The sequence below is a fragment of the Homo sapiens genome, chromosome 9 (assembly GCF_000001405.40).
Source record: "Homo sapiens chromosome 9, GRCh38.p14 Primary Assembly".
In the NCBI taxonomy this organism is placed as follows: Eukaryota; Metazoa; Chordata; class Mammalia; order Primates; family Hominidae; genus Homo; species Homo sapiens.
The window spans coordinates 62420899-62447452 of record NC_000009.12 but is presented as its reverse complement, the minus strand read 5'-3'; the positions used below and the strand labels follow the sequence as shown (position 1 = coordinate 62447452).

General features: G+C 37.9%; 1 long non-coding RNA gene and 1 pseudogene across 3 annotated transcripts in view; both read right to left on the bottom strand.

Moving 5' to 3' along the window:
- Positions 1–26554, bottom strand: part of LOC128966771 (uncharacterized protein FLJ76381) — a 98522-nt gene that overhangs the window by 27401 nt on the left and 44567 nt on the right.
- The window catches only part of FGF7P6 (fibroblast growth factor 7 pseudogene 6), a 59264-nt pseudogene continuing 44643 nt past the window's right edge, over positions 11934–26554 (bottom strand). For both annotated transcript variants that reach the window (NR_047527.1, NR_003674.2), the window contains 2 exons: positions 14474–14577; positions 11934–13386 (listed from right to left, as the gene is read on the bottom strand). The product of NR_047527.1 is annotated as a fibroblast growth factor 7 pseudogene 6, transcript variant 1 (transcript). The remainder of the gene's footprint in view (positions 13387–14473; positions 14578–26554) is intronic.

The window sequence follows — 26554 nt, the reverse complement described above, 5'->3', positions numbered from 1 at the left end:
TCTTTTATTTTCACTAGTGAAACTCCTTTAAACATTTCTTTTAGAGTCAGTCTGGAGGTAATGACTTCCCTTAACATTTTCTCGTCTGGAAATACCTTATTTTCCTTTCTTTATGAAGCTCAGTCTGGCAGGTTATGAAATTCTTGCGTGGCTGGGTGCAGTGGCTCATGCCTGTAACCCTAGCACTTTGGGAGGCTGAGGCAGGCAGATCACCTGAGGTCAGGAGTTCAAGACCAGCCTGGCCAATATGAAGAAACTCCATCTCTATTAAAAATTAGAATTTGCCAGGCGTGGTGGCGGAAATCTGTAATCTCAGCTACTGGGGAGGCTGAGGCAGGAGAATTGCTTGAACCCAGGAAGCGGAGGTTGCAGTGAGCTGAGATCACACCACTGCACTCCAGCCTGGGTGGCAAAGTGAGACTCTGTCTCCAAAAAAAAGAAATTATTGGATGGCATTTTTTTTTTCTTTAAGAAGGCTAACACTAGGCCCCAATCTTTTCTAGGTTGCAGGGTTTCTGCTGATAAGTCTGTTGTTAATCTAATTTACTTCATAGGTAATTTGGCCCTTTCTTTGAGCTGCCTTTAATATATTTTCTTTTGCATTGACCACGGCTATTCTAATGACTGTGGATGCCTTAGGAATGGGCATCTTGTTTACTATGCCACAGGTGTTCTCTGAATTTCTTATATCTGAATATCAACCTTTCTAGCAAGACTAGCGAAATTTTCCTAAATTATTCCCTTAAATATACTTTCCTAGTTGGTTGCTTTTTATTCTTCTGTTGTAGTAATGCCAATAAGTTATAAGTTTGGTCACTTTACATAATCTCATATTTCTTAAGGGCTTTGTTTTTCAGTTCTTTTTTCTTTTATTTTTGTCTGACTGGGTTACTTTGAAAGACCAGTTTTCAAAATCTAAAATTATTTCTTCTGCTTAGTCTAGTTTATTGTTAAAGATTCCAACTGTGTTTTGAAATTCCATTAGTGAATGTTTTAATTCCAGAAGCTCTATTTGTTTTTTTCTTAATCCAGCTATTTATTTTTCCATATTTCAAATTGTACTTAATGATTGTTTTGCACATAAAATTAATGTATACATGATTAATGCTTTAAAGGAACTAAGCACCCACCAGACTCAAGAAAAAGTGATGACCTATGATACATCTGAAAAAAATTTAACCTTTCTATTAATTACAGTTATGCAAATTAAGATAATATGTATTTTTGTCTAGCAAAATAAAATATAAGTATCAGTTTTGGTGAAGCAAAAGCATAATGGACATTAATTTGCCGATTGGTGCTGAAAGTATAAATTGATTCAACATTTTGCAGGGATGTTAGTCAATAAGTGTGAAAATTATATACTAATATCTCTTTACACAGTAATTAAAGTGCTAGGACTTTTTGAAAAGAAAACATGTCTCAATGTGCCCAGATTTGTTTCTGTGAAATGTTTATAAAAAATATTGTTCATTGAAAGCAATACAATATTTAACAATAGAGAGAGTAGGCCTGTAAATCATGGAATTTATTCAACAGGGGATGCCTGAAGAGGGTCTAAAAATAATCTATATGTTTAAATAAATAAATTAAAAGAAATTTATTTTAAAATCCTACATTTAATTATATTAAAAATTATCAATTTACGTGATAGGATTATTGGTAAATTTGAATTTTTTTAGCATTTGTGTTCCTTTATGTGCCAATTTTTCTATTACTGTCTTTTACTCCTTTTGTAGATAAAATATACTGTTTTAACATAAAATAAATGTCATTCATAATTTCTTATACAGTAAGAACATTTTTTTGAGACAGGTTCTTGCTCTGTCACCCAGGCTGGAGTGCAATCATAGCTCACTGCAGCCTCAGCTTCCCAAGATCAAGCTATCTTCCCACCTCAACCTCCCAAGTGTCTGGGACCATGGCTGTGCACCACCATACCTGGCTAACTTTTAAAGAAAGATTATTGTAGAGCCAGTGTCTCACTGTGTTGCCCAGGCCAGTCTCAAACTCCTGGGTTCAAACAGTCCTCCTCCCTCAGCCTCCACAAAGTGTTGGGATTACAGGCGTAAGCCAATGCACACAGGCAGAGCTTTTTTTAAAAAAAGTATGCAATATATTTGGTCTTTAAAAAATGTTTTTGTTTGAAGAGCAAGGTACTCATGCAGGAAAATAATCCAATTTATGGTGCAGTTTAATTTAAAATGAAATCACTTGGCATTATTAAAAAATAAAATTTTGCCCAGGCACAGTGGCTTACTCCTGTAATCCCAGCATTTTGGGAGGCCAAGGCAGGTGGATCACCTGAGGTCAGGAGTTTGCGACCAGGCTAACATGATGAAACCCCATCTCTACTAAACACACACACACACACACACACACAAATAGCCGGCTGTGGTGGCGCATGCCTGTAATTGGAGCTACTTGGGAGGCTGAGACAGGAGAAATCACTTGTACCTGGGAGACGGAGGTTGCAGTGAGCCGAGATCGCGCCATTGCACTCCAGCCTGGGCAACAAGAGTGAAACTCTGTTTTTAAAAAAATTGAAATTAAAATAAATAAAATTTCGAGTGTCCATTTGTTACCAAGAAAATAATTTAGAAAAACATTATTCTAATGCAATCTACAATTGTGTAGAATCACTGTAGAATATGCCACAGCATACTGTTGAGTTTTATTTGCTATTAAGATTAAGTGGGGCCGCACGGCCAGACAGGCCCTCCTCCTGAGGCCGGGCAGGCTGCACGCCTGCAATCCTGCCCCTGTGGTCCTGGGGCAGCCCGGACCAGCTCAGGAGAACCCGCGAGCCCAGCGGCGCCTGCCCTGGGCTGGAGCCCTGCTTGCCGGCGCACCGGCTGGGAGCGGCTTCTGGGAGCCGGGCGGCCCCCGCGGTGCAGGCGCGCTGCTAATGGCCTTGCGAGGCTCACTGGGTCTGAGAGGTCAGAGGCTGCGAGTGTCGCTGCTGAAGGCTGTGGTGGACCCGGCTGGATTGCGGATTCTGGGCTAGATCGCAGATTTGGGATCACGGATTGGGGATTGGATCGCGGATTGGGGGTTGGATCGGGGATTTGGAGATGGATCGGGGATTTGGGGCTGGATTGGGGATTTGGGGCTGGGTTGGGGGCAGTGAAAAGGTGACAGGGAGTTGCCGCGGCTCAGGAGCCGGTGGTCGGGTGTCTGAGAAGACTACAGGCGCCCGCCACCACGCCCAGCTAATGTTTGTATTTTTAGTAGAGACGGGGTTTCACCGTGTTGGCCAGGCTGGTCTCAAACTCCTGACCTCGTGATCTGCCCGCTTCGGCCTCCCAAAGTGCTGGGATTACAGGCGTGAGCCACTGCGCCCCGCTATCACTTCCTTTCTTATCTGTGTACCTTATCTGTATACCCGGCCTTATCACTACTATTATGGGTTTTTTTTTTATTTTTTGTTGTTATCGTTTTTTTTTTTTTTTTGAGATGGAGTCTCGCTCTGTCGCCCAGGCTGGAGGTCAGTGGCGGAGCAGTGTTCTCCTCAGCACAGACCCGGGCGGGCCAGGGTCTCCACGAGGGCGGAGCGGCGTTCTGCTCAGCACAGGCCCGGGGGACACTGCGAAGGCAGAGCCGCGTTCTCCTCAGCACAGACCTTGGGGGCACTGCCTCGCTTTGGGACAACTCCGGGCTGCATCCACGGTGAATAAAATCCTTCCTGTTTGCAGCCCTGAATAATCAGGGTCAGAGACCAGTTAGAAGGGTTCAGTGTGGAAAACGGGAAACCAAAAGCCCCTCTGAATCCTGCCCACCGAGGTTCTCCCCAGCCAAGGCGAGGCGGCCACAGTGCAAGATTCACACCGCAGCCTCGGAAGACAAATGCGGCATTCCTAATGCAGACATGACACCCAAAGTATGACACCCCCATTGCTCATGTAACAAGCACCTGTAATGCTAATGCACTGCCTCAATACAAAAATATTAATATAAGATCCGCAATCCCCTCGCTGCCCTGCAGTCCTAAGACAGCGATCATAATAATCAACATTGACATAGTCAATACAAACGTAGTAACGAACCTAGGGTTAAGTTGGTGTTAGGGTTAGGGGTTAGGGGTTAAGTTTAGGGTTAGGGGTTGGAAATAAGGGCTGGGGTCAGAGTTAGGGGTTAGGAGTCAACGTTTAGAGTTAGGGGTTAAGAGAGGTTAGTGGTTTGGGATTAGGGGTTAGGGTTGGGTTAGGGTGAGGGTTGTGGTTAGGGGTTAGGGTTACAGGTTAGGGTTAGGATCAGGGGTTGGGGTCAGGGTTAGGGGTCAGGGTCAGGGATCAGGGTCAGGGTCAGGGGTCCCACTCTGTGGGTTGTCTATTTACTCTGCTGACTGTTCCCTTTGCCATGCTAAAGCTCTTTAGTTTAATTAAGTCCCAGCTATTTATCTTTGTTTTTATTGCATTTGCATTTGGCTTCTTGGTCATGAAATCCTTGCCTATGCCAATGTCTAGAAGGGTTTATCCAGTGTTAACTTCTAGAATTTTTATAGTTCAGGAATTAGGTTTAAGTTCTTAATCCATCTTGAGTAGATTTTTGTATAAGGTGAGAGATGAGAATCCAGTTTTATTCCCCTACATGTGGCTCGCCAATTATCCCAACATCATCATGTGTTGAAAAGGTGTCCTTTCCCCACTTTATGTTTTTGTGTACTTTGTCGAAGATCAGTTGGCTGTAAGTATTTGGGTTAATTTCTGGGTTCTCTCTTCTGTTCCATTGGTCTATGTTCCTATTTTTAAACCAGTACCATGCTGTTTTGGTAACTATGGCCTTATTGTACAGTTTGAAATCAAGTAGTGTGATGCCTCCAGGTTTGTTCTTTTTGCTTAGCCTTGGTTTGGCTACATGGCTCTCTTTTGGTTCCATATTAATTTTAGAATTGTTTTTGTAATTCTGTGAAGAATGACGGTGGTATTCAGATGGGGATTGCATTGAATTTGTAGATTGCTTTTAACAGAATGGTAAATTTCACAATATTGGTTCTACCCATCCATGAGCATGGGGATGCATTTCCATTTGTTTGTATCGTCTATGATTTCTTTTCTTTCTTGTGTTTTTTTTTTTTTTCCAGAGGGAGTTTCAGTCTTGTCGCTGAGGTGGGAGTGCAATGGTGTGATCTCGGCTCACTACAACTTCTGCCTCCCAGGTTCAAGCGATTCTCCTGTCTCAGCTTCCCGAGTAGCTGGGATTATAGGCATGCGCCACCGTGCTTGGCTCCATCCATGATTTCTTTCAGCAGTGTTTTGTAATTTTCATTGTAGAGGTCTTTTGATTCCTTTGCTAGGTATATTCCTAAGTTTTGTTTTTTGTTTGTTTGTTTGTTTGTTGCAGCTATTGTAAAAGGGGTTGAGTTCTTGATGTGATTCTCTGCTTGGTAGCTGTTGATGTATAGAAGAGCTGCTGCCTTGTGTCTGTTAATCTTGTATCTGGAAACTTTGCTGAATTCTTTTATCAGTTCTAGGAGCTTTCTAGAGGAGTCCGTAGGGTTTTCAAGGCGAAAGATCATATCGTCAGCAACCAGTGACAGTCTGACTTCCTCTTTACCGATTTGGATTTCCTCTATTTCCTTCTTTTGTCTGATTGCTCTGGCTAGGACTTCCAGTACTTTGTTGAAGAGGAGTAGTGAGAGTAGGCTCCTCGTCTTGTTTCAGTTCTCAAAGGGAATGCTTTCACCTTTTCCCCATTCAGTGTTATGTTGGCTGTGGGTTTGTCATAGATGGCTTTTATTACATTAAGGTATGTCCCTTGTATGCCTATTTTGCTGAGAGCTTTAATCATAAAGCAATGCTAGATTTTGTCAAATGCTTTTTCTGCATCTGTTGATATAATCGTGTGAGTTTTTTAAATTCTGTTTATTTGGTGTATCACATTTATTGATTTGCATATGTTAAACCATTCCTGTATCACTGGTATGAAACCCACTTGATCATGTTGGATTATCTTTTTGATATGTTGTCAGATTCAGTTAGATAGTATTTTGTTAAGGATTTTGGCATCTGTGTTCATCAAGGATATTGGTCTGTAGTTTTCTTTTTTGGTTATGTCCTTTCATGGTTTTGGTATTAGGGTGATGCTGGCTTCATAGAATGAATCAGGGAGGGTTTCTTCTTTCTCTGTCTTGTGGAATAGTGTGAAAGGATTGGTATCATTTCTTCTTTGAATGAAGGAAGACATTCTTTGAAGTCTGGTAGAGTTCTGCTGTGAATCTGTCTGGTCTTCGGCTTTTTTTGTTGGCAATTTTAAAATTACCATTTCAATCTTGCTGCTTGCTTTATTGGTCTGCTTGGGGTATCTAATTCTTCCTGATTTAAGCTAGGAGGGTTGTATTTTTCCAGGAATTTATCCAACTCTTCTAGGTTTTCTAGTTTATGTGCCAAAAGGTGTTCATAGTACCCTTGAATAACCTTTAATATTTCAGTGGTGTCAGTTGTAATATCCCCTGTTTCATTTCTTAGTGAGGTTATTTGGATTTTCTCTCTTCTTGGTTAATCTTGCTAATGGTCTATGAATTTTATTTATCTTTTCAAATAACCAACTTTTTCTTTTATGTTTTGTATTTTTTGTTGTTGTTGTTGTGTCAATTTCATTTAGTTCTGCTCTGATCTTGGTTATTTCCTTTGTTTGCTGGGATTGGGTTTGGCTTGTTCCTGTTTCTCTAGTTCCCTGAGATGTGAACTTAGATTGTCTGTTTGTGCTCTTTCAGACTTTTTGACGTCGGTGTTTAGGGCTACAAACTTTCCCCTTAGCATTGCCTTTGCTGTTTCCCAGAGGTCTTGATAGGTTGTGTCATCCAGTTTGAAGAAATTTTTTACATTTCCATCTTGATTTTGTTTTTCACCCAATGCTCATTCAGGAGCAGGTTATTTAAATTCCATGTATTTGCATGGTTTTGAAGATTCCTTTTGGAGTTGATTTTCAGTTTTATTCCACTGTGATCTGAGAGAGTGCATGATACAATTTCAATTTTCTTCAATTTACTGAGACTCATTTTATGACCTATCATGTGGTCTATCTTGGAGAAAATTCCATGTGCTGTTGAATAGAATGTGTATTCTGTGGTTGTTGGATGAAATGTTCTGTATGTATCTGTTAAGTCCATTTGTTCCAAAGTATAGTTTAAATCCAGTGTTTCTTTGTTGACTTTCTCTCTTGATGACCTGTCTAGTGCTGTCAGTGGAGTATTGAAGTCCCCCACTATTATCGTGTTGCTGTCTATCTCATTTCTTATGTCTACTAGTAATTGTTTTATAAATTTGTGAGCTCCGGTGTTAGGTTCATGTATGTTTAGGATTGTCATATTTTTCTGTTGGATGAGACCTTTACCATTATATACTGTCTGTCCTTGTCTACTTTAGCTACTGTTGCTTTAAAGTTTGTTTTGTCTCATATGAGAATAGCTACCGCTGCTCGCTTTTGGTGTCCATTTGCATGAAATGCCTTTTTCTATTCCATAATCATTCTGATGCAAAAACAATTGTAACTCTCCTTCTAGTGCCTACATTTCCTGTGAGCTCCAGTTGTGCATAGCAGAAAATACGGAGGCATCTAGGAAAACCTAGGGGCAGGAGGGGCTGGGAGGGAATAAGGCCTTTCAAGGTGTTTAAAGAAGAGACAAAGATGAAGAAGCAGGCATAGTTTCTGAAGACATTTTTTGGTCTTTGTTGTTGTTTGCATTTACCTAATTAGTTCTCAACTGCAGAGGCACATTAGAATATTCTGGGGAATTTTTAAAATACGACTGCATGGGCCACCTGTCATATACACTGATGTAATTGGCTTGAGTTGGGGCCTAGGTCTCTCTCTCTCTCTCTCTCTCTCTGTTTCTCTCTCTCTCTCTCTCTCTCTCTATATATATATATATATCCTGTTTTGTATATATCTAAGTATCTGTAGATATATACAGAACAGGGGATACCAGTGTGTACCTACCATTGAAATCAATTGTTTTCAAGTCTTTTTAGGTCTTATTCTCAGATGGTCTTGGGTAAATGGTGGCTGATTGCCTTCAGCATCTAGAATAAAACACTCTATGGCCCAGAGGAATTCCAGCTGGCATCTATGATCTTTTTCTCTTGAGGTAGAGCAGCTGAAGGGAGGATTATCTTCATGTTGAGTCTGATGGCAGGGTAATTTGCTTCATGTGGAGGCAAAGGGATATTGTTAGTTTTCCAGCTACATTGGGAGTTCTAAGTAGCCACATCTCAGGCTAATAGGAAGTCCAGATTGGTTCAAACCTTTTCTTAATTATCCTGTGTAGGAATGGACCACGCAGTATCCCTCAAGGAAGAATCAAGAGTGTTTCCACAGAGAATACACATATTTCATCTCTTTCTCTGCTGAATGGATCCCCACTGAAAGCCATGAATTAATTACTCTCATTAGACCCTGTAGGATCCCAGTTTATGGCAGTGACATTAAAAACATCTAGTTCATGACTTGGATTAGGCAGCCTGTAAAATGACTTCCAGTGATCCCTGCTTTCTGGTATGTATGCCCTTGTATAATACCCTCCTCATGAGTGTAGGCAGAGGTAACATCACTTTTGAAACTAGGTTATATATATTAAAACAAACAAACAAACCTGTGGCTTCCATTTTGGGTACTTTATCTCACACTCTCTGATTTCTTGCTCCGTGGGAAACAGACTGTAATGTTGTAAGCAATGCTATGGAGAGGTCCATGTGGTAAGGAAGTGATAGGTCCTGATAAGAGCCAGTGAGGATCTAAGGTGGATCCCTTTCTGAGTTGAATATTGAGATAGATGACTAACAGCCCTGGTCTACACCTTGATTGCAGCCTCATGAGGAATTCTGACCAAAAACACTGTGCTGAACCACGTCCAGGCTCCTGAGCCACATAAACTATGAGAAAACAAATATTTGTTTCAAGCCATTAAGTTTTAATTTGTTACACAGCAATAGATAACTAACACCTTTGTTACAGAGCAATAGATAACTAACACATGGAAGGATTCATCAAGAGAAGCGTTTTTCATAAGTGAAATGTTATTTTCATCTCACATTTCAATTATTAGAAAATAAAAGAAAATAAATTTGGATAGGCTCTCATAAATTCAATGATAAGAACTTGGAAAATGCAACCACATGATAACCAGGAAGTAAAAGGAAAACATAAGAGGCATCTTCCCAGACGAGAGTAAATATCTGGTTCCCTGAGAAGTGTAGTTTGAGAATGGAGAAATCAGATGTTACTGGAAAGAGGCTAGGACCGTATTATTTCTTGCTTCCTGTCAAGTCTTTTCAACTCAAGAGAAAGTAAATTTTCTTGACAAACCATTCAAAATTAAAGGATAGGTGGGAGTACATGTGTCCCTGAAGGAACAAGTGACCTTCATTGAAAGCAGCAGCTTGGTTGAATAAATACTGTACAGAAGTGGAATAAAGAGTAGCTGACAACAATGCTGAAATAGTTACACATGAAGTTTTAATGAGCTATTTCATATTAAGATACATATTGAGAATTCAAACCAGAGAGACCAGTTAATTGATATTTTCCCAACTCTGTTTTAGGGTGATCATAGAAATGATACCCACAAGTTAGTCACAGTGGCCTGCATCCATTTTGATATATCAGTGACGTATTCTGATTGGCCAGTAATCACCCATACTGACTGTTAAATATTTTTGTTATCACTCCTATGCATGGTGAATTTGAGTTCTGGTTTTCTTTAGCCTTGTGTTATTTATGTGTAAAGTTGGATCATGGAAGGCAAAGAATCTCCCGTGTGTCATTCACGCTCAAGTAAATGGCAGTGGGATAGGGATGTAAATGAAACTGCATGATAAGCCCTGCAAGTCATTCTGATGTATCGATTTTGCTTACTGGTGTTTAATTGCAGACATTGTCATATTAACGCAACCACTAATACATTATGGAGTAAGATGCAAAAATCACATGAGTCTTAACAGAAAAGAAATGTGATTTCTGTGGTGGGCCCCTTCTGCATTATTCTCTAACTTCTTGTTTTATACCTCTACTGTTAGAGAAATTTCAGTAGAAAATCGTGAGGGGCACTGTTTTAGAGTTTTTGTTGTTATAGCAATGCTTTTACTACAGCTAGGTCCCCTTGTACATCTTTATGTTCTTTGGCAGTCTAGAGAATCAGAAGAGCAAACTCTATGAGATAGAAACTCTAAGAATTTACCTCCAGCATCCCTTCTCTTCTGTCATTAAATTGAATTCATAGCCAACTCAAAGATTGACAATTTATACTATGGTTTTTATATTTTTATATTATAATTTATATTATGGCTTATGTCAAAATGTTTTGTTCACTGCTTTGAAAGTATCTTTTGTTTACTTTTGTTATCATTTCATATTTTAATTTTTTCCTTTCTAATTGTTAGAAACTCATGTATTTAATTTTATCTTTCAAAGAACATTTTTAAAAGGCTTACTCTGCTTATATGTATATTTTGCACAAAGCTTTCCATTCATAAACAAAAGGTGAATAGGAATCAGAATTGAAAACTACATAATTTCTTTTCTCCTTTTGAGTCAAATCATCACAGTATAGATTAGTCATTGTGTATGAAGTGCATTGCCAAGACATAGTCACATTTGTGTACAAATGTAAAGGCTATATCTCAATAGAAATAAAAAAACAAAAAAATGCAGAAGACCATTAGCTAATAATACTAATAATCTAGTATAGAAAGCATGTGCCAACTGATCTAGACTCTTGTGACAGTTGTATATCTACTCAGCTGCTTGACCTTAGGTGTATCAAAATCTCGATTTCCTAGACTACAAATGAGTAAGAGGGATGGAGGCCCCTTACAGTTTTAAGATTCTGGAATTCTAAGTGGGTGTAACTGGAGCAAATTTTATTTTCTAAAATTTGCATAATAAATTTTAAAATAGGAGAAAAACTAATAATTAAAGTACATATTTCTGGAAGTCTTTTTTAGGTGACTTATACTACCAGGAATGGATTTACCACTAAATATTGGTTTTGCCTAATTCAGCATTGCTATGTAATTTGATGGAAGTATAACTCCATAGACAAAGAGATTTGGTCCTAACATAGCTTGTATTTTATATGTATATACACTATTTCTATTTAAATTTCTGTGTAGTCATGTTTTACCCTTTTAAAATGAAGATTAGTTTTATTATGTATTTTCTTTTGTCTATAAACATTCAGTGAATTCACACTGAAAACTGATTATGAACAGATAGTCTGCTAGGCACTAAGGAAACACATATGAAAAACTAAGTCCTCCTCTGCCCTCAATATGCTCACAAGACTACAGTTACTGAAGCCTGACCTCAAAACCTAGCTAACAAAGTCCTTGAATCAGGTGATAGTTCAGAATACCATTCATGCTCTCTCCCAAGAGTATATCTGAGGAAGGGCAGTTCTTTCTAGTTTTCTACATCCTGGTCGTATAGGTCAACCACAGGAAAATTAAATGAATCTATTGGTTTGTTGACCTAGCCTTTTCATATAAGCCTCATCTATAAATGTATTACCAAATACTATTTATGTAAAGGGACTTGAATGACAAATATTTTGAAATTAAAACCACAATGGTTAGCATAGCTTTTAAATTAGATAAATGTTGACCTCCCATTGGTGAACATATAAAGTGCTACCAAGATCTGCCAATGAAAGACTTTGGAAGTGGAAATTCATCTTTTTAATAATCCTGTTATCTGTAAGCTGACCTCAAGCCTTCATGACATTCAAGGCCCCTTATTCCTAACTGTATCTTCTGTTTTGGGCATTGTGCTCTTGCCATCTAACAGGAAAACAACTTTCAGTGCTGCCACCTTTTGAACAGCAGAGATTTCTAGAGATTAGAAAATTACTAAATTTAAATATACATAGTTTTAAAATATGATACTTTTCTACCTATGCATTCAAATATATTCTAACTTTTAAATCCTGTAAATACTTATATTTGTAATGATTTTACTTATATGATCCAATTAATTGGCAAGAATATGTGGTGAAAGATTTTTTACATGTTTGTATTGTTCTGTGTGAGACATCTACTGTAAGCATTGCTTCAGGTTCTCATTTTTGTCTGCCTTCCAGGATTTGCTGGCCCAAGTGCTGTGTGCTAGACTTAGTCTCGGTCACAGAGGGGAGGGAAACTTGCAGTTGAGCCAGACAGTTTTGTTATTCCTTTAAAATTAAAAGCATATGAAACAGATACAGCTTATTAAGGTTTTTTTAATAAATAAAATAAACTTAAATAACAAAATAATAAAGTTCAAAAACAACTTAAAATATAGTTTAATGCTGTAACCATAGGAAAAAAGCATGATTATTTGTGGGAAGAACATTATTAAAAGCCATATTCCCAAATACGAATTATACAAAGATAGATTATGTTACTTGAAAAAAACTTAAAGATTTCTCAATTTTACTTTGAGAAATTATAAAATGTTATTTTGTGGCAAGTAAGATGAAGTACAGTATTATCATCAATCACTGTTGCTATCTTATATACAAGATTTTTGGAAACATCCTTTTAGCAATACCCTTTCCACTTGAGCAGCATTAGAAATTTTGTTCTTGTTAATAGGTATAAGCATGTTCTAATCCTGTACTTTTGTTAAATTATCTATTTTATTGACTTTCGTAATAGATTTTTTTGAGAATATTCTTTTTTTCTGATTAGAGTTTAAGTAGATTATAATTTTTCACTAGAAAGCATTTAAAATGCTGCTCATTTTCTATAGTTAGTGTGGCTTGATTATCTGACAAATCCTGCCAGCAGCCTGTAGGTCTGATACACCTTATATAACATCATCTGCATTATTATTATTATAGCAGCCATTTTATAAGCAGATAGGAATATTTAAATAATCATTATCAGATAATCAAATCTAACATACTCTTAAGGGTAAATTAATTTAAGAAAAAAATTACTATTACTAACATCATGATTGTACAACCAGTTTTACAATTTTGTACAACCTTTAGTTACTAAATCTGATTTTTGTGTATACTTTTCAAATCTTTCTTTAATGCAGTGTCTTAAAACAAACATAAATGCACAAGTCAAGCTTGATCAGTTTTTCAGTAGTTTTCCAGCCTTTCTTGATTACTAAAAAATAAAAGGAAAGAAAATTTTGAGAAGAAAGAAAACAGTCCACTTAAAGAAATCTCCCTACTGGAACTGGTTCTTTATATACCATATGCAATTAAGTTATTGCCATAGGAAGAAAGTGGGCTGTTTTTTGTTCTTTCTTCGTTTTTTTTCCTCTTACAGGAATCCCCTTTTGATTTAAGGCAACAAACATTTCCCCTCCATTGTGTGTCCATTTAGCTGCTGCATATGTGTTGTAATGGTTTTCCAGAATTAGTTCTTTGAAGTTACAATCTTCATTGCATTCTTTCTGTTCAAACAAACAAACAAACACACAAACATTATCCAAATGATTTTTAGAGAGGCTCAATTAAACGAAGAGTAAGCAGCAATATTTGGTAGAATTGAAACATACACAACTTTTTTTAACCCTCAGATTGAGCAGGCCTAATGTGGTTTATTAGCTAGACTTATGTAGTATATTTGCATAAAAAGGTATCTTAAATTTGAAATAAAGACACCACATAATGCACAGCTAGTGTGAAATATGTGTAGCTTTTTGGAAGTTCATGTCAACTATTCTTTAAAATTAGGACCTATTTCCCCCTAAGTAACAGGCCTCAAATTACTCTTCCCACATCACTCATTCTTTAACCACTGGAAATTTGGTAGAATTAGCAGAACCTCTGCCTCCCTCAGGTGAGAGACTTGTTTCACAACTTTTCTTTATTTACTTGTACACTGTCTTCAGTGGTAATGGAAGATAAAAGGTTAATTTGTTTGTTCATCCATGCAACCATTTGTTCATTCAATTAAACCTGTATCATTATATAATTAGCCTGTTCCAGGCATTATGCTGAGCTGTGGGAATACAAAGGAAAGCCAATTATATTTTATTACAGTGGGATGAACTGTTACATATTTTGCATTGTAGTGAAGTGGGAACAATGTGAATAATTACAGTTCAAAGCCCATGATTGTGAGATTGATGTTGATGAATGAACTAAACATTTCAAGATTTTTTCCCAAGAATTTTCATGTCAGCAATGTGCAAATTGGGTGAACTTTAGCAAAAAGAGCTTTAATACTGGCAAATGGAAATTTTGGATTTTAAATATCTAAAATGCACATGGAATGTTAGAGCTGGAAGGCTCCTTAGAGGTCAGCTAATTCAACTCATTTTACAGATGAAGAAACCAGAATCCAAAGAACAAGCCATTTGTCCAAAGTCACACAGAAAACATTTTTTCTTAACATTTGAGTATAAAGTGTTTTAATAAAATCATTAAATTATACAGTTGGAGATAGATTAAGTCCATGTTTACTTTTCAGAATGGTGAGATATTTCAACAAAAATGAGTTTTAAAAATTAAGCCTAAGCTATCAATTATCAATACCTTTGCATAGAGTTTTCCTTCCTCGTTCATTGCAAGATAGAATTCACTTTCCACCCCTTTGATTGCCACAATCCGAACTGCCACTGTCCTGATTTCCATGATATCTGCAAGGAATCACAGAAAGACATGTCAAGTATTCGTTCAGCTTTGCAAATGATCCACGAATGGCCATTTGTTCTTATTTCTGTTTTAATCGGAAGTCTTTAAAATTTTTAATGTGATTATTTACTCAGCCCAAGACCCCCGACCCACAAGAGATACACACAAACACCAGAATAGTCATTATATAAGGCAAGTGCAAACTGACGGTTTTTTATTTTGTGGAAAATGTGCCTGTATCGAATAAATAGTTACATATTTGAGTTCAGCTTTTTATTCTCTAGAATTAAATTTCTAATTTACTATAATAATAATAGCTAATGTTTATTGAACGCATACCACATGCCAAGGATTATTGCATTGCTCTTATGTATTAACTCATTTACTCATAACCGCAGATTGAGGCAGGTAGTCTTGTTATCCCAGTTTTACAGATCAGGAAACTGAAGCACAGAGAAACTAAGAAATTTGCCCAAATTCTTATACCTGATAAGTAGCAGAACTGGAATTTGAACCCACACATTCTGGCACTTAATCATTATATAATTACTTTTCTATTTGGATAAACTTTATCTTAAAAATTATGGCCAACAGAATAGCTCTTGAATATACTGAAAGTGAAGAAAATTCTAATTAAAGCAATTGTAAATGATGGTAAACAGAGCCTACTGCCTTAAAATAAAAGGTTGTTTTAAACTGATAGTATTTTGATACATGAAAAGACCATTTAAAACAAAATTATGAATCCTGTTTATATAATACTTCATAACTTTATACCTTTGTAATTAACTTTTAAATCTTTGTTGAAATAGTATTTACAAAACGTGTTTACACAAGAATGGTAACTTACCATTTTCCTTTATTATATATATCTTCCTTAAATCCTGTGTTTTAATGACACACTAAATAAAGTAAAATCTCAAGAAATTTATTAAAATGATGTAAGAATTAAAATTTTAGTGTACTTTTATGTAATTTGGTATTAATTACATTTTCTACATGAAGGTACAGTGCTGAGACATCCTTTTACCTATGTCTAACACAGTGCAAAGAAAAGTCAAAGTGTCAATTTTCTGTGTGATTGGGCCTTCAAAAGCTATTTTCTAAAATATTGACTTAAAGAAAAAGCTAATTGTTTTGCCCCATACCTTTACTTCATTCTCTTATTTATTTTTTTGACTTCATTTTTGCTACCTGGATAATAAAATTTCTATTCATGTCATTGGGATTTAATGTAGCCCAGCTAATATTTCTCATTTGCCTCACATATATGTTGCATATAGAAGCCCTTTTCCCAATATCCTATACTTAACACTAGTCAGAGCTCGTCCAGTTGAGAGTTTCACAGCTACTCCTCCAGAAATTGGGTTTGATTAAGAAAATGTAAATGAATGGATATTAATCTTTTTATATATTTATTAAGCATTATCACAATGCATACAACCCTACTGTAGTTTTAGGACACAAATTAAGAAAAACAGCCCTGGTTTCTGATACCAGAAGTTAAAACCTAATAGAAACAGCAAACACGTCCATATATTTTGAAGAATTTTGAAGAACACAGGCCTGAATAGGCCAGAGAAAATTTTACTAATTGCTTACAAGCACATGAAGGATTATGACGTTGATGCATTCATGTAACGTTCAGCAGATCTTCACTGAGAGCCAATTCTATGCTAGGCTCAATTCACAGACAAGCCTTGCCCTTTTAGGGCACTCTATTTGGTAACTACAACTTCATTGCATTAAAGGAAGCACAAAGGGAAATAACATGCAGAAGAATACTATTAGGTTAAATTTGTACTAATACAATGAAAAATACTGAAGAAATTCATTGATTCAGCATATTTGCAATACCTCCAAAATGGAATGAATGTATCAGTTAGGTTGGTGCAAAAGTAATTGTAGTTTTGCCATTACTTTTATGACAAAAACTGTAATTACCTTTGCACCAAACTAATATTTAAAGGACATATGGAATAGTTGGTTTCTAAAGATCTTAGCATTGTAAAATATCATTAAAAAGTCAATATTTTCTTTTCCTTCAAGTCTCTTTACTCCTGCCATTCCTCCCTGTATTTAATATATTTTCTTTTAGATAAAAAGAGAATGCTGATGCACAAGCTTAGAGTGTCTTTCTTGATCAGTTATTAGGGACTAGAATCTGTAATGTTTGCTGGCTTTTCTTTTACAGAACAATTGTAAAACATAAATGTTGACTGATAGAGTTAGTATTAATTATGATAGGCAGACGTCTTCCCTTTTTGGTCCTGTCATGACAATAAGTTCATATTGTCCCACTCCCAAAACATTTTCCTCTATCCCCTGCCTGTCTATTGCCCACTATTTCTTTATTGCACTTTACAAGAGGTGATGGCTGGATGTGGTAGCTCACATCTGTAATCCCAGCACTTTGGGAGGCCGAGTCAGGCAGATCACTTGAGGTCAGGAGTTCAATACTAACCTGGCCAACATGGCGAAAAATACAAAAAATTATCCGGGTGTGGTAGCGGGTGCCTGTAATCCCAGCTACTCAGGAGGCTGAGGCAGGAGAATTGCTTGAACCCAGAAGGCGGAGGCTGCAGTGAGCCAAAACGGTGCCACTGCCCTCTAGCCTAGGCAACAGAGTGAGACTCTGTCTCACCAAAAAAAAAAAAAAAAGAAAAATTAGTTGGGCATGGCGGTGAATTCCTATAATTCTAGCTACTTGAGAGGCTGAGGCAGGAGAATCACTTGAACTTGGGAGGCAGAGGTTGCAATGAGCCGAGGTCACACCACAGCACTCCAGTCTGGGTGGAGTGAGGCTCTGTCTCAAAATAATAAATAAATAAATAAATAAATAAATAAATAAATAAATAAATGAAAATAAGGTGGTGAACATTTTTAATCATATCTCTCCACATATTAGGGTTAAGGATACCACAAATTCTTTGTAAAGATTCTACGTTTAGCTGAGATGAGAATAGACTTATATTCTTAATTGCTTGACATATTTAAAAAATACCATTCACACTGGGAAATCAACATATCTAAAAGACAATTGCTTGGGGAGAGCATTAAGCAGTGTTGGCAGAATCAGTACCTTATCAACCCTATTTTCTAGTCTATTTTGTTCCATGTCCTACGACCCTCTTTTATTCAAGAAAAGCTCAAGAATAAGGAAATTAACATTATCACTCATTTGTTCAGTTGCAGTGTGGGGAGTAATGTTCCTTTCAATATGCACAAATATTTATAGAAGTGTTAAATATGGGCCGGGCGCAGTGGCTCACGCCTGTAATCCCAGCACTTTGGGAGGCCAACGCGGGCGGATCACCTGAGGTCAGGAGTTCAAGACCAGCCTGGCAAATATGGTGAAACCCCATCTCTACTAAAAATACAAAAATTAGCCAGGCATGATGCTGGGTGTCTGTAATCCCAGTTACTCGGGAGGCTGAGTCAGGAGAATCATCTGAACCTGGGAGGCGGAAGTTGCAGTGAGCTGAGATTTCACCATTGCACTCCAGCCTGGACAACAAGAGCTAGACTCTATCTCACCAAAAAAAAAAAAAAAAGTATTAACTATGAAATCCTACCCCTCCAAATCAGAAGCCACGAAGTTGCTCAGAAAACATAATAGAAAAATATGTAATATGCAGATATTGTTAGTTACCAATATGAGTTAATTATACTTGGTCTTTTTGTCTACAGTGTATCTGTTGCCTCACATAAAACAAATAGAAGAGGCTGTCTTTCTTTGTGGATTTCCATTTGTGCTTAAGAGAAGTTTGTTCACATAAGTAGCACTCAGTAAATTTATTCCCAGAGATTTAAAGCATATACATAGATGCATCAAATTGTTGGCATAATGTCCATGATAACATAATGGCAGAGTTCAAAAATATAAATAAAAGAGAGAGAGAGAATCAGCTCATGCAATAGAACATGAAAAACCAGGCAATATGTCAAGCACATTGACCATTTAGCCTTGTCAACAATATTGTCAACAATAGCATAAATTTATTATTTAGGATGTCACCCTTACACACTAGAGACTATGCCCTAAATAGCTTCCCTATTTTTTATCATCTGGTTCAATAATTCATGAATTTATCTAAACTTTTTGTCTGTTTATTATTTAAACCTGTGTCACACTTGGAATGAAAAGTGGGGAACTTTGATCTAAATTGCAATTACTTTTTTAAAAAATTCTGTAAGACCTTTCAGAATTTTAGGTGTCCCTCTAATCTTGTATTTCAGAAATTGATACTAATTCTTTTTTTAATTACCAATAGCTTTGTGATTTTAAAGTGCTTTAACTTTCCTGTTTGAAAAATTACTTTTTAGTGTCTCACTACACAGAATCCGTGTCCACCAATCTCAGCATCATTAATATTTCTTTTTCCTGAAACCGTTAAAGCTTTATGTTTAAAGTTTTGAAGGGGTATATATTAATATGGCTGTGCTAGCATGATAACTAAATATTATTTTCAAGTTGCAAAAAAAAGTGGAGGCAGCGGTTTGATAGTTAGCCAATCAGAACATTTAATCTTGTCCTTGATCAAATATACCCTCTTCGGCATGTTAAAACTAAGAACTAGTATCAACAAAGAAAAAAACATTTACATTTAAATACATTTTATGATTTTCTGTCAAGCCTGGATTGTTGAGTGGGAAATCTTAACCATTATATATTTATATTATGTTTAAGGCTATAGATTCCATTCATTTTACATCACTAAAATACACCGACATATACATATATGCAAAAAATATATCAATATATCCAACATATACAAAAAAAACACTGAAAACACAACAATAAGGAAAAAAAACCTAGTTAAAAAGTGGGCAAAATCTGGACACCTCACTACAGATACACAAAGGGCAAATAAGCAGATGAAAATATGCTCAATAACATAGATCATCAAGGAATTGCAACATGGATGCAGCCGGAGGCCATTATCCTAAGCAAATTAACACAGGAACAGAAAACTAAATACTGCATGTTTTCACTTATAACTGGGAGCTAAACACTGGGTACTTAGGGACATAAAGATGGCAACAACTGACACTGGGGACTACTGGCGGGGAGTAGATGAGGGAAGGGTTGAAAAACCATTAGGTACTATGCGCAGTACCTGAGTGATGGGAGCAATCATACCTCAAACCTCAGTATCACACAATATACCCAGGTAACAGACCTGCACATGAACCCCCTGAATCTAAAATAAAAGTTGAAATTATTTAAAAAGGAATTGCAAATTAAAACAACAATGAGATACCTCTATACAACTATTAGCATGACTAAACTCCAAAAAACTGACAGTGCTGTATGCTGGCAAGGATGCGAAGCAACCAAAACTCTTTCATTACTAGTGGGAATGCAAAATGGTGCAGTCACATGGGAAGACAGTTTGGCAGTTTCTTAAAAACTAAACATGCTATATAATCCAGCAGTCATGCCCCCAGGTATTTGCCCAATTGAATTGAAAACTTACGTCCATACAAAATCCTGAACATGACTATTTATAGAAGCTTTATTCGTATCATCTAAAACCAGATGCAACCAACATATCCAATAGGTAAATGGATGAACAAACTATGGTACACGTATACATTGGAATATTATTTAGCAATGAAAGGTATTGAGCTGTGAAGCCACAAAAAGACAAGGGGAACCTTAAGTACATATTGCTAAGTGAAAGAAACCAGTCTGAAAAAGCCACATACTGTATGATTCCAGCCATATGACATTCTGGCAAAGGCAAAACTTTAGAGGCAGTAAGATCAGTGGTTGCAAGGGCCTTGAGGAGAGCAGAAGAAGGATGAAAAGCTGAATCACAGGGGATTTTTAAATCAGTGAAACTATTCTGCGTAATACTGTAATAGTGGATACACGATATACATTTGTCAGAACTCATAGAACTATACAAAGCAAAGCGGGGACGTTAGTATAAATTGATGGTATAAATAAATATTGGCTCATCTATTGTAATAAATGTGCCACATTAATGCAAGATATTTATAATGGAGGAACTGTGGGGGGAAATGGAGATTGTTTATAGGAACTCTATTATCTGCTCAATTTTTTTTTTTTTTTTTTTTTGATACAGAGTCTCGCTCTGTCGCCCAGACTGGAGTGCAGTGGCGCGATCTCGGCTCACTACAAGCTCCACCTCCTGGGTTCACGCCATTCTCCTGCCTCACCCTCCCCAGCAGCTGGGACTACAGGCGCCCGCCGCCACGCCCAGCTAATGTTTTTGTATTTTTAGTAGAGACAGGGTTTCACCGTGTTAGCCAGGATGGCCTCGATCTCCTGACCTTGTGATCCACCCGCCTCAGCCTCCCAAAGTGCTGGGATTACAGGCGTGAGCCACCGCGCCCGGCCCTATCTTTTTATTTTAATAAAATAACTACCTAATTTATGACAGGATAGTAGCATCTGGTGTTCTCTGAGGTTCTTTGATTTGTGGGCAGGTGTCTGTTGCTGAATTTTAAAAGTTCTCAGCCATCCCTTTTTTCTTTTCACATTCTGGGTGAATGCAGTTTTCATAGAAGGTGCTAGATTTGTGCAACCCTAAAGATAGGTGACTCCTCTGACTCACAGATCCCTGAGAGCCTCTCCCGAACAGAGTTTCTTTATCCACACACCCCACTTCCCATACCCACTCTCCCACATAGGTGTTCTGGCCACCAGTAATCTCTGAAGGATGGAAGATGAAGAGACATGACTTTTACCTGAGTCTCTACTCCTCCCAAGAGAATGAATGTTCCTGGAAACTTCACCAACAGAAAATCAGGGGATATCAATATATGTAAGCACTCATTACTCATGTAATGGAGGCCTTAGCAAAATGTGACACTTAAATTTCTGCTCAGGGAGAGTAGAAAATAGGCACAGAGAATAGAGAGACTGGTAAAGAATGAAGGCTCAAAGGTGATTGAGTTGTGTTAAAGGCACGTCTTGATCAGGCTTTGCTTTATTTTTCTCTTGTGGAATATGAAAGTGGGTGTTACAATTAAATATATTTCTTGATTTCCTAAAATGTTATAGGCTGTTTCCAATTTTTGTTATTTTTGGAGTTTCTTAAATCGAAATTTGATTCAGGATAATTAAAAAATATAATGTTAATGTTAAGATGGAAAGTAGGTCAAAAGGCAATCACGTTAAGCAAGAGGATAATTGGAGATAGGACCTTGAACACGAAAGTAATCTTAAATTCTTGACTATTATGATACAGTTTGCATAAAGAACTGAGATTTCTTCAGAAAACTATAGTGAAATGGGACACTACAAATCAAATATAAATTTAAAAATGAACGCATTTATTCAATACATATCCATAGATTATTCTGGATTAAATGTACACATTTTAAGAATAAAGTTTTAAATTTGAAAATGAAAGACTGTTTCCCATCTAAACAGACCATTGGCTTCAAGATACTTACAACTGTGTTAAATCATCTTCCATTGGTTATAGTTGGTTATGGCATCGGCATCCCCAAATCTGGCTGACCCATACTACGTTTTTCCTAAATCTCTTTTTTCTTCTGTATCTTGCTAAGTCTGCTGGTTCATCCTCCCAATTTCCTGTATTTAAAACCCCAGTGCCACGTTTGACCTTGTCCTTTCTCTTCTGCTGTTCACGTCTTCTGTCTCTCACATTCATTCCAACCTACACATCCCAGTGGCCTATTCCTATTTAAGCACCCAACCCCCTCTCTCCTGAATGAATGCAGAAAGCTTTCTCATCTCTGGACTCATAACACAACAGTTATTATTACACACGACTGTCAGACGTGTGGAGTTCTTGAACCATAGTTCTCTGGTGTCATCATTCATTTTAAAAATTTTGGTTGGCTCCCTATTACCTAGAAAATAAACTTTAGTGTCCTTTGCTCAACATGTGAGGCCCTCCACAATCTAATTTCACACGCTCCAAAACCTTATTTCTACCTACTCTCTTCCAAGGACCCTGAACCCCACATTCCAGGCAAATCCAGTTATGGAACACTTGCAAAGGCCATCAGAAGTCACTGCAAAACCAATCCGGTCTGACTCCTATGTTGTTTAGTGCTCTATCCCCTTTGTCTGAAATGGCTTTCCCTCCACCTCTATTTTTGTTTACCGGCACCTTCCACAGCTTTCAGCATTCAGTTTGTCATGAAGGCAGCTGTTACAGACTGGACTAGAAAACTGTGAGCTGAATTGGTGGTTTCCAAATCAGTATCACACTTGATTCCCACCTCCAGAAATTTTGATAGAGGGGGCCTGGAGTAGAGCCAATGAGTCTTACACACACAGACACACACACACACACACACACACCCCAAAAGAAATCCACACCCCAAAACAAACACACACTTACCCTAATGACTATCTAGGTGCCAGCCCTAGCCTAGGCCAGGCTGGTGGAACATGCTGGATTAAAAACAACAGGACACTGAGAAAGTATTTGCTACACAGACATATGGGATTTGACCATGTGTTATTTACAGATAACCTAACTCATTGGAGTAAAACCTATCTTAAATTGGCATATGGTATAGGATATGTTGTAGCATTTTATTAGTGAACATTTGTAAGGTTTTATTTGTGAAAACTGATAAGACTGTATTTGTGACCATCACAAGGAAAACTGATAAAACTGTATTTGTGACCATCTCAAGGAAGGCCTGTCCTATGCCAGGCTCACCTGCCAAGCTGGCCGCAGTCCCTTCCTCTCTTGACCTCACGTTGCCCCTAAAGGCGTCTCTGTTATTATATTCATGACTTTCCATTTTCTAATACTGTGTACTGATCATTTCAACACATGCCTTATTCTCTGAATAGACTGAAGGATTCATTAAGTATCTGAAAAGCAAATGCTGATGAACTTGCCTAAAATAAAAGGCATGAAACATGCAAGTTTCTAACATAGATTGTAGCAGCCACCCCAGATGATTGCAATCGCCTCCCCATTGATCTCCCAGCTGACACATTCTATGTATTTGTAACTTAGCAACCAGAGTGAGCCTTTAAAAATTATCAGAGAGCGCCACTCCTCTTAGTAAAGCACTACCCCACCCCAGTCACGTAGCTTTCTGATTCACAGGAGTAAAAGCCAAAGTCCTTATAATGGCCTAAAAATCGTACATAATCTGTTCCTTTTCAGATTTCATTCACTACCATCTTCCCCCTTCTCTCTCTGTTCCAGTTACAACAGCTTGCTGCCCCCCTCAAACACAACTAGCACGTTCCTGCCCCAGGGCCTTTGCACCTGCTTTTTCCTGTTAGTGCAACAAGCTTGCTCCAGATATCTGAAAGGCTGACTATCTCGCCACCTTCAGATGTGTGTTCTAATGTCTCTTTATCAATGAGAGCTTCTTTGTCCACCCTGGGCATCTTCTTGCCCTTCCCTGCTTTATTCTTCCCCATGGCAGTTACTCACATTGGACACTAAACACTTGTTTCCTTAGCTAGGCATTCTTCTCCTACCCTCACAACAGTAGGAATGTCCTAAGGTTCTGAGAAGACTCCTGTGCTAGGTTTCCAGACTCCTGTCCTCTCACATTTGGTGCTCATGCACCTCTTGTTCATTAGTGCACTCCAGAGGTTAGGACCTAGAGTACGTGGCTGTCCTTCAGAGGAGGGAAAGGGATTGCTTAGGAGCAGAGAAGGGAGCTTTGGCCTCGCAGTGCAGGACCCCTGTGCCCACAGGCCTCTGTGTGTTGACAGCAATGCTCTTGGTGTCCACCTGCACTGCCCTCTGGTGTTCAGTCAAAATCAAGCAAATAGTTACGAACTGCTATAGGGGATTGTTACCAGGTCCTGAGTCTGAGTGTTGGAAACACAAACCCAGAAGCAAACAAATCTGCCCAACACCCCTGACATGTGGGTTTCACAGAAAATACTGAGGTCAGAGTAGCGTGTTAAATGATACCACAGTGATGACACAATCATAAAAATCTACACTGTGGACTCTGTCCTAGTTTCTTTAACGAATTGCATGGAAAAAAAAGATGGAAGGGGAAGAATAAGAATGAAGAATGCTTTAGAGACTCTGCAATCCATCGTAATATCCGTACAAGGATTCTGCTCTTTTAAAAAAAGAAAAATGGTGTGAAAAAATATGTAGGACTGGCCAGGCAGCGTGGCTCACACCTGTAATCCCAACACTTTGGGAGGCCGAGGTGGGTGGATCACTTGAGGTCAGGAGATCAATCCTGGCCGACAAGCCTGACCAACATGCCAATATGGTGAAACCCCGTCTCTACTAAAAATCCAAAAAATTAACCAGGCATGGTGGTGGGCACCTGTAATCCCAGCTAATTGGGAAGCTGAGGCAAAAGAATCGCTTGAACCCAGGAGGCGGAGGTTGCAGTGAGCCGAGATCTTGCCACTGCATTCCAGCCTGGGTGACAGGGCGAGACTCTATCTCAAAAAAAAAAAAAAGTAAGACAATCAGGGAAATTTGAACAGCGACTGGATTTTGGTTAAAAGTAAGTAATTCTGGCTAATTTTTAGATGTATTATTTTAAAAAGGGGATCCTTACCCTTTGGAGGTGGATACCTCCAAATATTCATGGATGAAATGACAGGATGCCAGAAATGCTCTTCAATTAATCTATGTCAGGGAAGTGGGATCAGAGGAATCAGGACTGTCTAAAACTGAAGCTGGGTATTAGGTCAATGAGTTAATTATACTATTCATTCATTATGCTATTTATTTCCTTTTGTATATTCTTTAAATTTTTCATAATAGTAATAAAGATATGTTGAACATGGTAAAGATGGAAAATGTACAGAGATAGAAGAAATATTCTTATTTTTTATTTCATACAATTCTATAGTTTCACATTTTGTTTTACTGTATTTATGCATTAATTCTATAACTGTAAAACATGCTATTAATAATTAAACTGACCTTATGAAAATTCTTGGAGAGTGAAAACTTTGAAACTCATGTGCTAGGTACATCATTAAAATATATCATTCAGGCGACACCTGATGACTCACATCTATAACCCCAGTAATTTGGGAGATGAAGATAGGAGGCTCCCTTAAGCCCAGGAGTTTGAGACCAGCCCTGGCTATATAGCGAGAGCCTGTTTCTACAAAAAAAAAAAAAATTATTATTAATTAGCCAGGCATGGTGGCATGCACCTGTAGTTCCAGCTACTCAGGAGGCTAAGGTCAGAGGAGAGCTTGAGCATGAAAGTTCAAGACTGTAGTGAGCCATGGTCATGCCACTGCACTCCAGCCTGGGAAACAGGGTAAAACCATGTCTCAATAAACAAACAAATAAATACATAAATACATAATAAAGTATTCCATTCAACATTTTTACCTTAGTAATGCTCAACGTTTGGTTTTTACTTATTTCCTTTTATGTTGTATTTTCTAGACCAAATTCACATATAGTATAAAGCAGAAGAAACTAAAGATTAAATTCATTGTTCGTAATTGTATTCAGTTTCCTGTTTTCATCATCGTTTGTTTACAAATTTTTTTTTTTTCTTTTTTGAGACAGAGTCTCGCTCTGTCACCCAGGCTGGAGTGCAGTGGCTGGATAGCTCACTGAAAGCTCCGCCTCCCAGGTTCATGCCATTCTCCTGCCTCAGCCTCCGGAGTAGCTGGGACTACAGGCGCCCACCACCATGTCTGGCTAATGTTTTGTATTTTTAGTAGAGACGGGGTTTCACCATGTTAGCCAGGATGGTCTCAATCTCCTGATCTCGTGATCCACCTGCCTCGGCCTCCCAAAGTGCTGGGATTACAGGTGTGAGCCACTGCCCCGGTCTGTTTAGGAATATTTTTAAAGAATTATTGCACTTCTGTTCGGATAGAAAAACAAAAATGCATTTTAAGAATATATATTTATATGTATGAAAATATAAAATTTTGAAAAGTTGAATATTTCGAGCCAGTTATGTAGATGTCCTTGTCCTTCTCTGAGCTGCTGACTCACGTTCCATGAAGCGGGATGGGTCTCACAGGGCCTGTCAGGATGCAGGCTG